This window comes from Homo sapiens, chromosome 1 (genome assembly GCF_000001405.40).
Source record: "Homo sapiens chromosome 1, GRCh38.p14 Primary Assembly".
Lineage (NCBI taxonomy): Eukaryota > Metazoa > Chordata > Mammalia > Primates > Hominidae > Homo > Homo sapiens.
In genome coordinates this window covers 167,614,227-167,629,000 of record NC_000001.11, presented here as the reverse complement: position 1 = coordinate 167,629,000, position 14,774 = coordinate 167,614,227, and the positions used below count along the sequence as shown (strand labels likewise).

Below are 14,774 nucleotides of genomic sequence, written 5' to 3'. Positions count from 1 at the left end.
CACCATCTTTGCACTTTCAGGCACTTAGATTGCTGCTTTGGGTACCAGTCTTAGAAATATGGCCTCCTTCCTGTCCTAGAACTTTCTAAGGCCCAACTTTCTAAAACACTGGCAGCCCTAATGCCAGAGTGGCTTCTAGTTCTTTAGCTTAGCTAAGCATAGAGGAAGACGCCTGGTTTTAGGAACAGACAGATTGAGGGCTGAATTCCAGCTCTGCTACTTTCTAGTTGTATTTTTTAGACAAGTCACTTAACTGCTCTGATTCTCATTTTCCTCACCTATACAATGTAGTAGGCACTCTGCAAAAAGTGGCTGTTTTTATCATGCTTAGCCCCATGTACAAGCTTCAGATGAATAAGAGCCTGATATTTCTTTTATTTAGAGACAGGCACTCGGGGACCCAGTGAAAAGAGCCCTCACTCCCAGGAATTAATAGTGAGGCCCCTCCCAGTCCAGCCACATGGCTGCTCAGGTGAAGACTCGAGAGCAGAGTCGGCAGTAAGGAAGGGTATTTACTGGTAACCTGCAAGGCACACTTTTGCTCGTGCTTCTTTCCTTTCTTTTTAAAGGTGCAGGACGTAGTGATGACTGCATAGTCTACTATCAGGTCTTCTAACTCTGCTCCACAGGGCCTTTTCCTTTCTCCCTCTACCTAGTCCTCCTTTGTGCTCAGAATGGGGCTGCCCCAGCACAGGTTTCTGGCTTCACAAACAGGAGGGCGGAAGTGCTTACCCAGAGGAAACCGTTAGGCCTAGATAACATCAGTCACCCAAGGTGACTTGCAGCTGCTCCCCACGCCCTGCTTAGGCCTCTCTTGGCTGAGAACAGATGACCACAAAGCAAACAAGCTTGGCCTCCACCATGCTCCTGGGTCCCCAGTGCAGAGTTTAATGCTGCTCCAGAGCTATTTGGGCCCCAGACTGGGACTTCTCCTGAGGGAGGGGGTGGAAAACGGGGAGGGAGGGACCAAGAGGTAGCCCCGAGCTGTGTTTAGGCAGCCATGAGTAGGTGTGGTGTGTGTACTCCCCTTATCTTCTTCTTCTGTCCCTACAGAAGATCTCCAGGAGCCAGAATAGCAGTAACTCTGCTGATAAACACCCAGGTTTGCTGGGTTATCTGGGATTGTAACTGGCTGCTCTGGGGGCTGGGAGGAAACAACAGCCCAAGGGGAAGGGAAAGTGACTTTCCGAGGAGTTGGTTCCCCTCTCTCTCTGGAGGTCTGGCTGGCTAACACGGAACCACTTCCTTCAGTCTACCCTGGGCCTTCCCCTTCATATATCCTGATAGCCAGAACCAGCCACGCAATAAGTAGAGGTCATCAGGTAACTAACAATAAAAACACCAGGCTGGGCTCATGCCTGTAATCCCAGAACTTTGGGAGGTGAGGCAGGTGGATCACAAGGTCAGGAGTTAGGGACCAGCCTGGCCAACATAGTGAAACCCCATCTCTACTAAAAAAATACAAAAATTAGCTGGGCATGGTGGCGTGTGCCTGTAATCTCAGCTACGCGGGAGGCTGAGGCAGAAGAATTGCTTGAACCTGGGGGGCAGAGGTTGCAGTGAGCCAAATTCTTGCCACTGCACTCCAGCCTGGGTGACAGAGCCAAGACTCCGACAAAAAAAAAAAAAAAGGCCAGGTGCAGTAGCTCACGCCTATAATCCCAGCACTTTGGGAGGCCGAGGCAGGCGGATCACGAGGTCAGGAGTTTGAGACCAGCCTGGCCAACATGGCAAAACCCCGTCTCTACTAAAAATACAAAAATTAGCTGGGCGTGGTGGCATGTGCCTGTAATCCCAGCTACTTAGGAGGCTCAGGCAAGTGAATTGCTTGAACCCACAAGGCAGAGGTTGCAGTGAGCCGAGATCGTGCAGCTGCACTCCAGCCTGGGCAACAGAGTGAGACTCCATCTAAAAAAAAAAAAAAAAACAAAAAATAAAAAAACAAGAACACCAGAGATACAGCTCAGCCAAGGGAGGGGCGTATGGGGAGGTATGGGGAGGAGCCAGGCATATAGAAGGCCCTCAATAAATATTTAGTGAATGAGGCCAGGTGGTAGCTCACACCTGTAATCCCAGTGCTTTGGGAGGTGGAGGATGGTTTGAGCCCAGGAGTTCAAGGCTGCAGTGAGCACTCTATCCTTGGCAACAGAACAAGACCTTGTCTCTAAAAAAATAAAGTAAAATAAAAATAATTTGGCGAATATGTGCGTGAATGAATGAACAAGTGAAGCAAATTAGGATCTTTCCCTTTAAGTCAGAGACAGAGTCTTTCAGAGATGGGTCTCCCATGGAAATAAGGACCCAGTGGGAGAAAAGATCATGAAAGGCCACAATAAGTAGTAACTTAATTAGCTTTCAAGCAGAATTGCAAAGAGGTCTAATCAATCAGCTGTTTATAGTGGACACACTGTACTGCTGATCATCTATTTTAAAAATGAAGAGCAAGAAGCAAATATTCTTTTACGACTACAAATACTACCTACTATGGTATAGGTAAATGCATATATAGGTAAAAATTACCTCATATGGTATTACATGAAATATCATCTATATAATATAGTTATATTAATATAATATATAAATATATACAATATAAATATATAAAATAATATAAACATAATATATATAACATTTTACATAATACCATTCATTCCTAAATTCTGGGAATCTGGCAAAACAAAATATAATGAAACACACACACACACACACACAAATCCCAATTCATTTTGCCGTAACTGTCATTGAGGAATAAATTTGAATTACATTGAAATGAAAGCACAAAGTCTGAAGTGTTTTTATGTCTTTAAGAACCTGCAATGGAAAGTTTCCCAAAGGCAGATGAGGAAATTGAGGAGAAAGACAGCACAGCAGCAGTGGGACTGCAGCGGGAGGATATTGGAGTGGTGGAGAAGGCAGTCAGCATAGGCTGGGGACTTCATGAGGAGAGCTTTTGACTAGGCCTGTGGGGTAGCAGCCCTGCAGAGATCAGGAAATTGGCTACACAGAGAAATTGAGCAAATAGATATTTAGATACCTTGAGGACAACGGGAGCCAGATTCCTCACTGATGGGGAAGGGATGTACAAATATGCAAAGGAAAAGGGCTAGAATGAACCCTGGGATGTTGCATTGGAATAGGAGGTATTGGTGTGAGGTCATGGTTTTCAGTATACATAGATAGATATGGAAGTAAATGTAGATATAAATGTGTGTACATGCATACATATATTTCCTGGTTTGATGCACTGAGAAAGCCTGGGAGCGATGACACTCCAGTAACAATAGGTGCACATAAAGCCCAGATCTTGGTTTCTAACTACTGTGCTTCATTAATAGAACCAGGACTTCTTGGAGTAAATGGCTAATTACAGGGCCAGGGCAGGTAGGACAAGATAAGCCTGGAACATCTTATTGTAGCAGAAAATAAGGAAGTACTCAAAGAGTGATGAGGGAGATGTTAAAATGATACAAAAATCAGTTTACAGGTGCTCCTGCCAGTAATATTGAGATTGTGTAAAAATCAAAATAAATAATGAAAGCAATGGATTAGAACTCTTCAAATAAAATGGGAGCTCATGAATCTACAATGATATAAATAACTAAGTGAATAAGTAGAAGAGAAAGTTCTTTCTTACAGTATAATGCTGTCTTAGTCCATTTTATGCTGCTGTAACAGAATACCACTGACTGGGTAATTTATAATGAAATTTTTATTTGGCAAATAGTCCTGGAGGCTGTGAAGTCCAAGAGCATAGCATTAACATCTGGTGGGGGCCTTCTTGCTACATCATGTTGAAAAGTGTTGCATGGGCTGGGTATGGTGGCGCCTGTAATCTCAGAATTTTGGGAGGCTGAGGTTGGAGGATCACTTGAGCCTAGAAGTTCATGACCAGCCTGGTAAATATCTTGAGACTCTGTCTCTACATTAAAGAAAGAAAGAAAGAAAGAAAGGCATGCATTGGTGTGAGGGAGCATGAGAGAGAGAGAGAGAGAGAGAGAGAGGGAGAGGGAGGAGGGGAGGAAAGGAGCTGAACTCATCCTTTTATCAGGAACCCACTCTTTTGATAACTAACTCACTCCTGAGACAACAGCATTAATTCATTCATGAGAGGAGAGCCCTCATAATCATCTCTTAAAGGTCCTATCTCAAAATATTGTTGCATTGGGAATTAAGTTCCCAACAAATAAACTTTGGAGGACACATTCAAGACATAGAAAATGGGATGGGTGCGGTGGCTTACACCTGTAATCCCAGCATTTTGGGAGGTTGAGGCAGGTGGGTTGCAGACCAGCCTGACCAACATGGTGAAACCCTGTCTCTACTAAAAATACAAAAGCTAGCCAGGTGTGGTGGTGTGTGCCTATTATCCCACCTACTCGGGAGTCTGAGGCAGAAAAATAGCTTGAACCTGGGAGGTGGGGGTTTCAGTGAGCCAAGATCACCCCACTGTACTTCATTCAGCCTGGGAGACAGACTAAGACTCCATCTCAAAAAAAAAAAAAAAAAAAAGAAAAAGAAAACATAGAAAATGCCAACTAACGTGTAAAAAAAGTTAGAAAATTTCCATCTAACAACCATCATAGTTAAATTAATTTTAGGAAAGAAACAAAGTTGTGTGCTAAATCTATTGGGTAGAAGTGGGGTAAGGAATGAGGTTTTACATAATTTAAACTAGCTCCCTCAAGTCACTGATTAATTACAATAAGGAGAAAAGCAACCTTACAGAGAAGAAGCTTTAATAGACATCATATTAATCAAGTGACCAAAGTCGACATCACCAGTAATGAAACAAATTGACGTCACATGATGAGATGCAATAAGAATGCACCATCACTTCTGTAATATTCTGGCCAAAAGGACATAACTTGAATCTAATCATGAGGAAACACCGGAGAAACCAAATAGGAAGACATTCCTCAAAATGACTGGTCTGTAGTTTTTATAAGTGTCAATGTCAGGAAAGTCAAGGAAAGGCTGAGGAAGGGTTCTGGTTAAAGGAGGCTAGAGAGACATGATAACTGGGTTAAATGAGTGGTTTGGGTTGGCTTGTTTGAGCCAAGCATATTAAAGGAATTATTAGGATAATTGGCAAAACTGAAAGGAATTCTGGGTGGGAGGCTATATGGGAGTTCTTTGTGTTAACTTTATAACTTTTCTCAAAGTTTAAAATTATTTCAGGCTGGGCACAGTGGCTCATGCCTGTAATCTCAGCACTTTGGGAGGCCAAGGTGGGAGGATTGCCTGAGCTCAGGAGTTTGAGACCAGCCTGGGCAACATGGCAAGACCCTGTCTCTATAAAAAATAAAAAAATTGGCTGGGCACGGTGGTATACTATAAATTGTAGTCCCAGCAACTTGGGAGGCTGAGGTGGGAGGATTGCTTGAGCCTGGGAGGTCAAGGCTGCAGTGAACTGTGATCGTGCCACTGCACTCCAGCCTGGGTGACAGAGTGAGACCCTGTCTCAATAAATAAATAAATAAAATTGTTTCAATTTTAAAAATTAAGAAAAAAGGTAGTTAGGGGGAAGAATTGAGCCCTCACACTGCTTTGATTCTGGACTGACTCCTGTGCCAGCTTTTTGTCACCCCCTCCTCCTTACCCCCACCACAGAGATCCACAGACAAGCTGGGGCCTGAGGGCACTGGCCATGGAGAGAGACAGGCCCAGAGAGAGCCTCATCTTCTCGAGTAATAGAGAATGGATACGGGAAGAGGAAGATTATTCAAATATTTCTTGGTAGAAATAACTTTGTGCTGTTTCAATGGTTATAGTAAACACATGTATTTTCGTAATTTGGGGGGAGAGATCTAATTTTTAAAAAAGAAGAAAACAAAAGAGTTACAGACTGGACTGAGGAAAGGGTGGCTGTGAGGATAGAGACTGCACTCAGCTCAGGTACTCTAAGAAAAGGGCTGGGTGGTCTCCAGCTGAGAGAAGGGCCAATGAGGGATGGGGCTAGGAGAAGACACTGGTCTAATAACTGAGGCTAAAAAACAGTGTTGATGGAAAACCCAAGGGGATGACTGAGAGGTCCCAAAAGATCACAACCTTCTCCTTCTAACACATTATCCCAGGTTTTAGGAATGACATTAGGTAAATCTACCAAGGAAGCTCGAACCTTCTTAAACCTAAGAAGTATATCATGCAGGGCGCCTGCACAACAGTTTCAAGTCAGGCTGTAAATTAGAATGACCCAGGGAGCTTTGGAAAAAATCTTTCTTGGCTGGATTCAGTGGCTCATGCCTGTAATTCCAACACTTTGGGAGGCTGAGGCAGGAAGATCACTTGAGGTAGAGACCGGTCTGGGTAGTGTAGTGAGACCCCATCTCTTAAAAAAAAAAAAAAAAATCTGTCCTAGCTACTCAGGAGGATGAGGTGGGAGGATCTCTTGAGCCAGGAATTCAAGGCTGCAGTGAGATACGATCATGCCACTGCACTCCAGTGTGGGCAACAGAGTGAGACCCTGTTTAAAAGAAAAAATCTGGGCCTGGGCCCCATGCTAGAACAATAGGGAGTGGGGCCTGGTGTTAGTGGGTTTTTTAAGGTTCAATAAAAAGATATTTCCTGCATCGTCTAAGCCAGTTTTAGAAATATCATTCCCCTTGCCAGAAATTGTTTTATTTTTTAGGGAGGGATAAGTGAGGAAATTTTGACTAATGAGACAAAAGGGGGAAAGCATTACCCTTTCTGATAAAGAAGCACACAGGAAGAGATGCCCTGTAAATATTGGATGTTATCTTACCTTATAATGATGCCTGGAACTGCAACAGCTATTTTGCTACCATGAGGCAAAGCTGCGAAAAGCCAGAATGTAAACTCCATGAACACAGATATCTTTGTTTCTTTTTTTTCAGTGTGTTTCCTGTGTGCCCAAATCAAGGCCAGGCGCAAATAGGCGCTTAGTGAATGTTCATTGAATAAAAAACCCGATAACTCTGTTGAGGTGCTGAATCAAGCAACCCTGAGATGACTTCCCCCTCTGGACTTCTTGTTAGGTGAAGCAATACATTTCTTTCTTTCTTTCTTTTCTTTCTTTCTTTCTTTCTTTCTTGCTTGCTTGCTTGCTTGCTTGCTTTCTCTCTCTTTCTTTCTTTCCTTTCTTTCTTTCTCCCCTCCCCTCCCCTCCCCTTCCCTTCCCTTCTTTCTTTCTCTTTTTCCTGAGACAGAGTCTTGCTCTGTTGCCCAGGCTGGAGTGCAATGTCTTGATCTTGGCTCAATGCAATCTCTACCTCCTGGGTTCAAGCAATTCTCCTGCCTCAGCCTCCCGAGTGGCTGGGATTACAGGCGCAAGCCACCACGCCTGGCTATTTTTAGTGTATTTTTAGTAGAGACAGGGTTTCACCATGTTGGCCAGGCTGGTCTCAAACTCCTGACCTTGTGATCTGCCTGCCTCAGCCTCCCAAAGTGGTGGGATTACAGGCATGAGCCACTGCTCCCAGCAGAGCAATACATTTCCTTATGGCTTAAGCCATTCAAGTTATGATCTTCCCTCTCCCCGCCCCCTGAGATGGAGTCTCGCTCTGTCACCCAGGCTGGAGTGCAGTGTCGCGATCTTGGCTCACTGCAACCTCCACCTCCCGGGTCCAAGTGATTCTCTTGCCCCAGCCTCCGAGTAGCTGGGATTACAGGCGCCCACTACCATGCCTGGCTAATTTTTGTATTTTTAGTAGAGACGGGGTTTCACTATGTTAGCCAGACTGGTCTCGAATTCCTTACCTCAAGTGATCCTCCTGCCTTGGCCTCTCAAAGTGCTGGGATTACAGGCATGAGCCACTGTGCCTGGCTGAGTTATGATTTTTTGTTATAGCTGAAGGTATTCAACTGATTCAGATAGATACAAACTTATAAGAAGACAAAATCAGACACATATATCAGTACAAAGAAAGAGGTTGACCCTCAGAAAAATGTGGAGCAGAGATGGAGAGAAAGAGACTGGCAGGGAAGGGCAGAGAGAGAAACATATGCACACATACACACACACACACACACACACACACACACACACACAGAGAGAGAAAGAGAGAGAAACAGAAAGATGGGACAATGCGATGCAGAAAAAGGGAGTGAGAAGCCTAACATCATTCGTGGAGGAAAAACAATTGTAAATTGAAAAAAATAAGAGTAACCATTGTCAGAATTTAAAGTGTTTTAATTCCTATCTGAATTTTAAAGAGCAGTTGGTATTGATAATCCTTTTTCTCATTCTTAACAAAGAACTAATTTCTCCGAGAAAATGCGGTGATGTTTACTGAAATGAAGGTTTTTTTTGATATAATTTCTTTAGGATATTGTTGATAAGGTTAAGTGATGTTGCAGTTTTACCTCTAAGGGCATTCACTAATTCAAATCAGTATCTTGAAGTGGGCAGGAGCTTGCCCAAGCTCGAGGTTACCCGCTTGGTCTTAAAACAATTATCTCCAACAATTCTATACAAATAAAGTTAAACAGATTATAAGAAATAATAGTATCCAAATCCCACCTATGACTCATCTCCCTTTGTCTTTTTACATGGATAACAGGCAGAGAAGTATGTCAAAAGTTTTCTGCACAACGTGTTCTTGTTTTTGACTTTGGCAAAGTGCTCATTTGCAAAAACATACTGAAAACCTGTGTCCCCGCCTGATAGTTTCTCTTTCCCTCTTGCAGTGGCCTCAGTATCCATCCATTTGCTCATGACAGAAACCTGGGAGTCACTCTCGATTTATCCTTCATCTTTAGCAATCAGGTGCTGCCGTTCTAGCTCTGAAGCTCCCTGACATCATCCCCCCTCCCTCCATCACTGTCACTGCCCTCTTAACGTCAGGATTATGAAAACAGTGTCCTAGTTAATCTCTGCATCTTCTAGTTGTTCTCCTTACCTCCAGCCTTGACTCATACTCCCCCCATCCCATCTATTTTCCGCTCCACAGGCAATAATCTTTCAAGAACATGTAACTGGCTCCCAGAAGCATTCAGGATAAAGGCTAACTTCTTAGATGGCTCACTCACATCCCTTCCTGACATGGCTGCACTTATCTGTCTGGCCTCTTCTCAACAGAGAACAGCCAGTATTCCAGACTCCAGGCATCCTGAGCTGCTTTCAGGTCCCTGAATTGGCTCTTCCCTCTGCCTGGAATACATTTCCTGATTTGCGCAAAGTGAATTTTATTCATTTTTGAGTAAGAGTTCTTGGTTCAGGCTTTCTCTAGGAAAATGGTCCTGACCACCACCACCCCTTTCCCCACTCTCCCACCACCTGGGAGAGAGATATTTCCTATGTGCCATTCAACACCTGTACTATTACTGCCATTGAAAGAATTATTATATAATTGCCCATTTACTTTCTATTTTTTTGTTTTTTGAGACGGAGTCTTGCTCTGTTACCAAGGCTGGACTGCAATGGTATGATCTCGGCTCACTGCAACCTCTGCCTCCCAGGTTCAAGCGATTCTCCTGCTTCAGCCTCCCCAGTAGCTGGGATTACAGGCACCCACCTCCACGCCTGGCTAACTTTTGTATTTTTAGTAGAGACGGCGTTTCACCATGTTGGTTAGGCTGGTCTCGAACTCCTGACCTCAAGTGGTCCATCCACCTCAGCCTCCCAAATTGCTAGGATTACAGGCGTGAGCCACCATGCCCGGCCCCATCTACTTTCTTTATATTCTTATGAAACTTTAAGCTTAATTAAGGCACATTCCACCCTATCTCAGTCAAAGTTCTATGATCAGTGCCACCTTCAAATCTGGTGAATCAATACATGTTGGATGAATGAGTGCACACTAGCCCCGTGCAAAAAAGTAGATAATTCATTTTGTCATCCACTTCTCACATGCCCACTTAAAAATGCAGTAATAACATAGGGAGTTGTAATATACAGTATACCATAGCGCAGTTAAAGACCTGACCTTTTTTCCTAATTACCACATATCAACTAGTTTACATACTATCATCTCCTTGTATAAAGTCACAACTCCTGGTGCTGAAGTCTCTTCCGTATTTTTATGGTTTGGGAGTATGTTATAATTACACTGCCTGCTTCCTGCTGTGTGATAATCTTTGAGACTTTTAAAGACTTTTCTCATCTTGGTGTACCTAATACCACTCTAGGACCCATGAGGCAAACATAGAGTTCATACCTTGTGAGTGTCATTTATCTGAAAAGGCAGTAATAGATCCTTGAGTCTTCGAATCAGAATACAAGCTAAATACTAAATGTGCTAAAGCAGTGTAAGACTGGATGTTGCTGGGTACTGAGGAAGGCCGGAAGGACTAGGATGGAGCGTCAAGGAAGGCCTCGGGGGCAAGAGGAAGAAGACGTTGACTTAGGTGTGCTCGGTGCAGGGGCTGATGGCAGAGCTTTATGTGGAAGGATCCTGTGAGCAAACAGCCCCAGGAGCCCGCGGAGGGGGTAGAAGAGAACGTGAGCTATTGCCAGAGCCAGCTTCAGTCCTCAGGTTTGCGGGGCCCGCTCCAACAGGGTGCACATCCGTCCTTTGAGTGGGCACAAAGTTTGGAATCCATTTCAGCCTCCTTATGGAGATCCTGCTGCACTCAGAATGTTGTTCTGGGAGAGTTTTGCGCTTGGTGTTTGCATCTGCGAAAATGGGTGATATCTGTATTTTGAAGATAATTGAACTTGAGCAGTGGCTTCTGATTTGTATTTTCTGCTTCTGTTTCCTTCATTGCACGTGGAAGGGCTTTTAGGTGGCAACAAAGAGAAAGAGATGGGATGAGACTAACCAAGGGAAAGAAAGATTTGACAACCAATTACCTATAGATAACCTGTAGGCAAAGGGGCCAAAGTGAGGCCTGGGGATTCGAAGATCCTACCAGATAGGTGATTTGCAGAGAGCAAAGTGACTTTACCGTTCTCCTTTTCTAATTTGATGAGAGTTCTCATCAGTCACCCAGGAATGTGGTAAGGAACTCCTAATCAAAATGACCATAAATCTGAAACCATAATGAAATGGGTTAAGCACTAATCTGACCCCTTACAGCCAGGCGGCAATGAAGCAAAGGAAGCAGACAGCCCCTGATGGAAGTCACACAGGGAGATGAATGCTTTGCCGCAGAAAGGGGAATGGTGTGGGTGGCAGCCGTTGGGGAGAGGGGTGGGGGTGGGGTGGAAAAGGAATTTGCATCTCATGGCTCAATCAGATCTGAAACCTAACATCCTGTTTTTCTGTAGGTTGGGCACATCAGTAGCTGAGAGACTCCTCTGACCATGGCCAGCCTCAGGAAGTGAGTGTCAACAGCCTTGCAGATGGGAACTCAACTCCTGGGTACCCATGCCTGAAAAGACGTAAGTCCTGCTCCCACCGGCACCAGACCCCCTGCCCTCCCTCTACCCCAATACTAGAACTCCAGACCTCACCCCTCCTCCCCAGAGACATATCAGCAGGAAGTTAAGTCAGCTGGAACACTTTGTTCCCTTGACATTTCTGTTTTAATTCTGCAGCTGTGTTTAAGGCTTCATGAATTATCTGTCCAGCACGGTCTGTTTGTCTGCCTAGTGCCTCTTCTCCCACTTCCCTGCACCAGGTCATGATTACCCTAAGGCTGGTAGAGCAGAACTGGAACTAGGGTTGGTAAGAAGGAAGTGGGATGGTAAGAAAGGGCATTAGGGACTGTAATATTAGCTGTTGATGAGCTAAGGATGATGATCTGATTGCTTGCTCAAGGAGGAGGAATTCCTAAATCATTAACAGTGTGCGTTGCCGATAGCTCTCTTTCCTCACCCTCTCATGGTATTTATCTCTACATCACATCATAGTGATGAATAGGTGTGTCTTTTCTCCTCAGTATTCTATAGTGCCTACTTACATGCCTTATTCATGCTTATTCATGTTCAGGAAGCAGTTGGTAATTGAAGGAATGAGCCTTCTCGCCTTCCTTTTATCTCAAGTCAGCTTATCACTTAAAAACAAAAACAAAAACAAGCCATAGCTTCCAAATTCAACTTGGTCCTGCTCAGGGTGGTATTTCTTAATTTCTTATAGCTGCAATTCACAGGTCTGTATCCTTGCTTGCCAATGTCTGTTTTGGTATTCATGGTAGTTGGCTCTGAGACATATCAGAGCACTATATTGTTCTTTCCTGGTTGCTTTTTCTTCTGCTTCTCATCAAAGTCTAGAGAGAAACTCAGTTTCTAAAGCCATTAAGAACCTAGTAGGAAAATGGTGATTAGTCTCTCCAAGTTCTTCTTCCTCAGCAGACCCACGAAGAGTGTTCTCCATTCACTGGTCAATCAGGCTCACATGTGTGAAACGTCAAGGTTGGCCTTAAAGGACCACCCGGGCAAATGACTTATCGTTAGTTACGTGAGCTGGGTATGTTTTGTCAACCACCCCGCTTGAAACCTAAGCATGAGAGAACGTAGCTCACAAGACAGGTATGGCCCCATATGTCTCCATAAGCCCACATCTAGAAAATACGTATGCAGATTTTTCTGTTGCCAGTTGGTCATCCTGAGCTATCATTTCTAATGTGTGACTAGTTTCAACCAAATTTAATATTTTAAAACCAGTCTCAAAGCCCTATATTTTAAAAAGTAAAACTATAAGTGGGCCTGGCATGGTGGCTCACGCCTGTAATCCCAGCACTTTGGGAGGTTGAGGAGGGCAGATCACAAGATCAGGAGTTCAAGACCAGCCTGATTAATATTGTGAAACCCCATCTCTACTAAAAATACAAAAATAAGCCGGGCGTGGTGGCACGCACCTGTAGTCCCAGTTGCTCGGGAGGCTGAGGCAGGAGAATCACTCGAACCCGGGAGGCAGAGGTTGCAATGAGCCGATATCATGCCATTGCACTCCAGCCTGGGCAACAGAGTGAGATTCCATCTCAAAAAACAAAAACAAAACAAAACAAAACAAAACAAAACTGTATAAAGCCCACAATTAACATTATACTCAACAGTGAAAAACTGAAAGCTTTCTTTTTTTTTTTTTTCTTTCTTTTTTTGAGATATAGTCTCACTCTGTCACCCAGGCCAGAATGCAGTGGCACGATCTTGGCTCACTGCAACATCCACCTCCCGGGTTCAAGTGATTCTCTTGCCTCAGCCTCCCAAGTAGCTGGGATTACAGGTGTGCACCACCATACCTGGCTAATTTTTGTATTTTTAGTAGAGGTGGGGTTTCACCATGTTGGCCAGGCTGGTCTCAAACTCCTGACCTCTAATGATCCACCCACTTCGGCCTCCCAGAGTGTTGGGATTATAGGCGTGAGCCACTGCACCCAGCCAACTGAAAGCTTTCTAAGACCAGGAAGAAGGCAAGCTTGCTTCCTCTTACCACTTCTATTCAACTTGGTACTGGAAGTCCTAGCCAGAGCAATTAGGCAGGAAAAAGAAATAAAAGGCATACAAATCAGAAAGGAAGAAGTAAAATGATCTCTGTTCACAAATGACATGATCTTATATGTAGAAAGCCCTGAAAATTGTACACCAAAACACAGTTAGAGTTATTACATGAATTCAGCAAAGTTATATGATACAAAATTAGCATGAAAAAAGTTGTGCTTTTATGTACTAACAATGAACAATCCAAGAAAAAATTAAGAAAACAATCCCATTTACAATAGCAACAAAAATAGTAAAATACTTAGGAGTAAACTTAATCAAGGAGGTAAGCTGAAAACTACACCTATACACTGAAAACTACAAATCATTCCTGAAAGAAATTAAAGACACAAATAAACAAAAACACACTCTATGTTCATGGATCAGAAGACTTAATGTTGTTAAAATGGCCATACCCCCAAAGCTATCTACAAATTCAATGTAATACCTATCAAAATTTCAATAGCTTTTTTTTTGCAGAAATAGAAAAAAAATTCAAAATTCGTATGGAATCTCAAGGGACCCCAAATTTCCAAAACAATCTTGAAAAAGAACAAAATTGGAGGCTTCACACTTCCTGAATTCAAAACATAATATAAAGCTACAATAATCAAAACAATGTGGCATGAGCATAATGACAGACATATAGACCAATGAAACAGAATAGAGAGCCCAGAAATAAACCCTCATGCATATGGACAAATGATCTTCAAAAAGGTTACCAAGACCACATGATGGGGAAAGGACAATCTCTTCAACAAATGGTGTTGGGAAAGCTGGGATATCCACATGTGAAAGAATGAAGTTGGACCCTTACCTTACACTATATACAAAAATTAACACAAAACGGATTAAAGACCTAAACCTAAGACCTGAAACTATAAAACTCCTAGAAGAAAACATAGGAGGAAAGCTTTATGACATTGGATTTGACAATAATTTCTTGAATATGACACTGACAGTGTAGGAAACAAAAGCAAAAATGGACAAATGAGACTATATCAAACTTAAAAATTCCTCCACATTAAAGGAACCAACAGTGAAAATACAATCTATGTAATAGGAGAAAATAATTGCAAATCACATATCTCATAAGGGGTTAATATCTAGAATATAAAGAACTCCTACAATTCAACAGTAGAAAAACAAGTAACTGGCCAGGCATGGTGGCTCATGCCTGTTATCCCAACACTTTGGGAGGCCAAGGCAGGAGAACAGCTTGAGCCTAGGAGTTCGAGATCAGCCTGGGCAGCATAGCAGGACCCTGTCTCTAAAAAAAATAAAAATAAAAAAATTAGCCAGGCATGGTGGCATGTACCTGTAGTCCTAGCTACTCAGGAGGCTGAGGTGGGAGGATCACTTGAGCCCAAGAGGTTGAGGCTGCAGTGAACTATGATTGCACCACTGCACTCCAACCTGAGTAACAGAGCAAGACCCCATCTCAACAACAACA

General features: G+C 43.3%; 4 annotated features.

The window, feature by feature from the left end:
* Nucleotides 571–620: an enhancer, noted in NCBI's record as "active region_2045". NCBI's record gives its function as "activates an Ori minimal core promoter by ATAC-STARR-seq in GM12878 lymphoblastoid cells {active_cell/tissue: GM12878}" and the evidence as "EXISTENCE:reporter gene assay evidence [ECO:0000049][PMID:35858748]".
* Nucleotides 631–800: an enhancer, noted in NCBI's record as "active region_2044". NCBI's record gives its function as "activates an Ori minimal core promoter by ATAC-STARR-seq in GM12878 lymphoblastoid cells {active_cell/tissue: GM12878}" and the evidence as "EXISTENCE:reporter gene assay evidence [ECO:0000049][PMID:35858748]".
* Nucleotides 881–940: an enhancer, noted in NCBI's record as "active region_2043". NCBI's record gives its function as "activates an Ori minimal core promoter by ATAC-STARR-seq in GM12878 lymphoblastoid cells {active_cell/tissue: GM12878}" and the evidence as "EXISTENCE:reporter gene assay evidence [ECO:0000049][PMID:35858748]".
* Nucleotides 10,458–11,657: an enhancer, noted in NCBI's record as "CDK7 strongly-dependent group 2 enhancer chr1:167586581-167587780 (GRCh37/hg19 assembly coordinates)". NCBI's record gives its function as "activates an origin of replication core promoter dependent on BRD2, BRD4, P300/CBP, MED14 and CDK7 cofactors, with strong dependence on CDK7, by STARR-seq in HCT116 cells {active_cell/tissue: HCT116}" and the evidence as "EXISTENCE:reporter gene assay evidence [ECO:0000049][PMID:35650434]".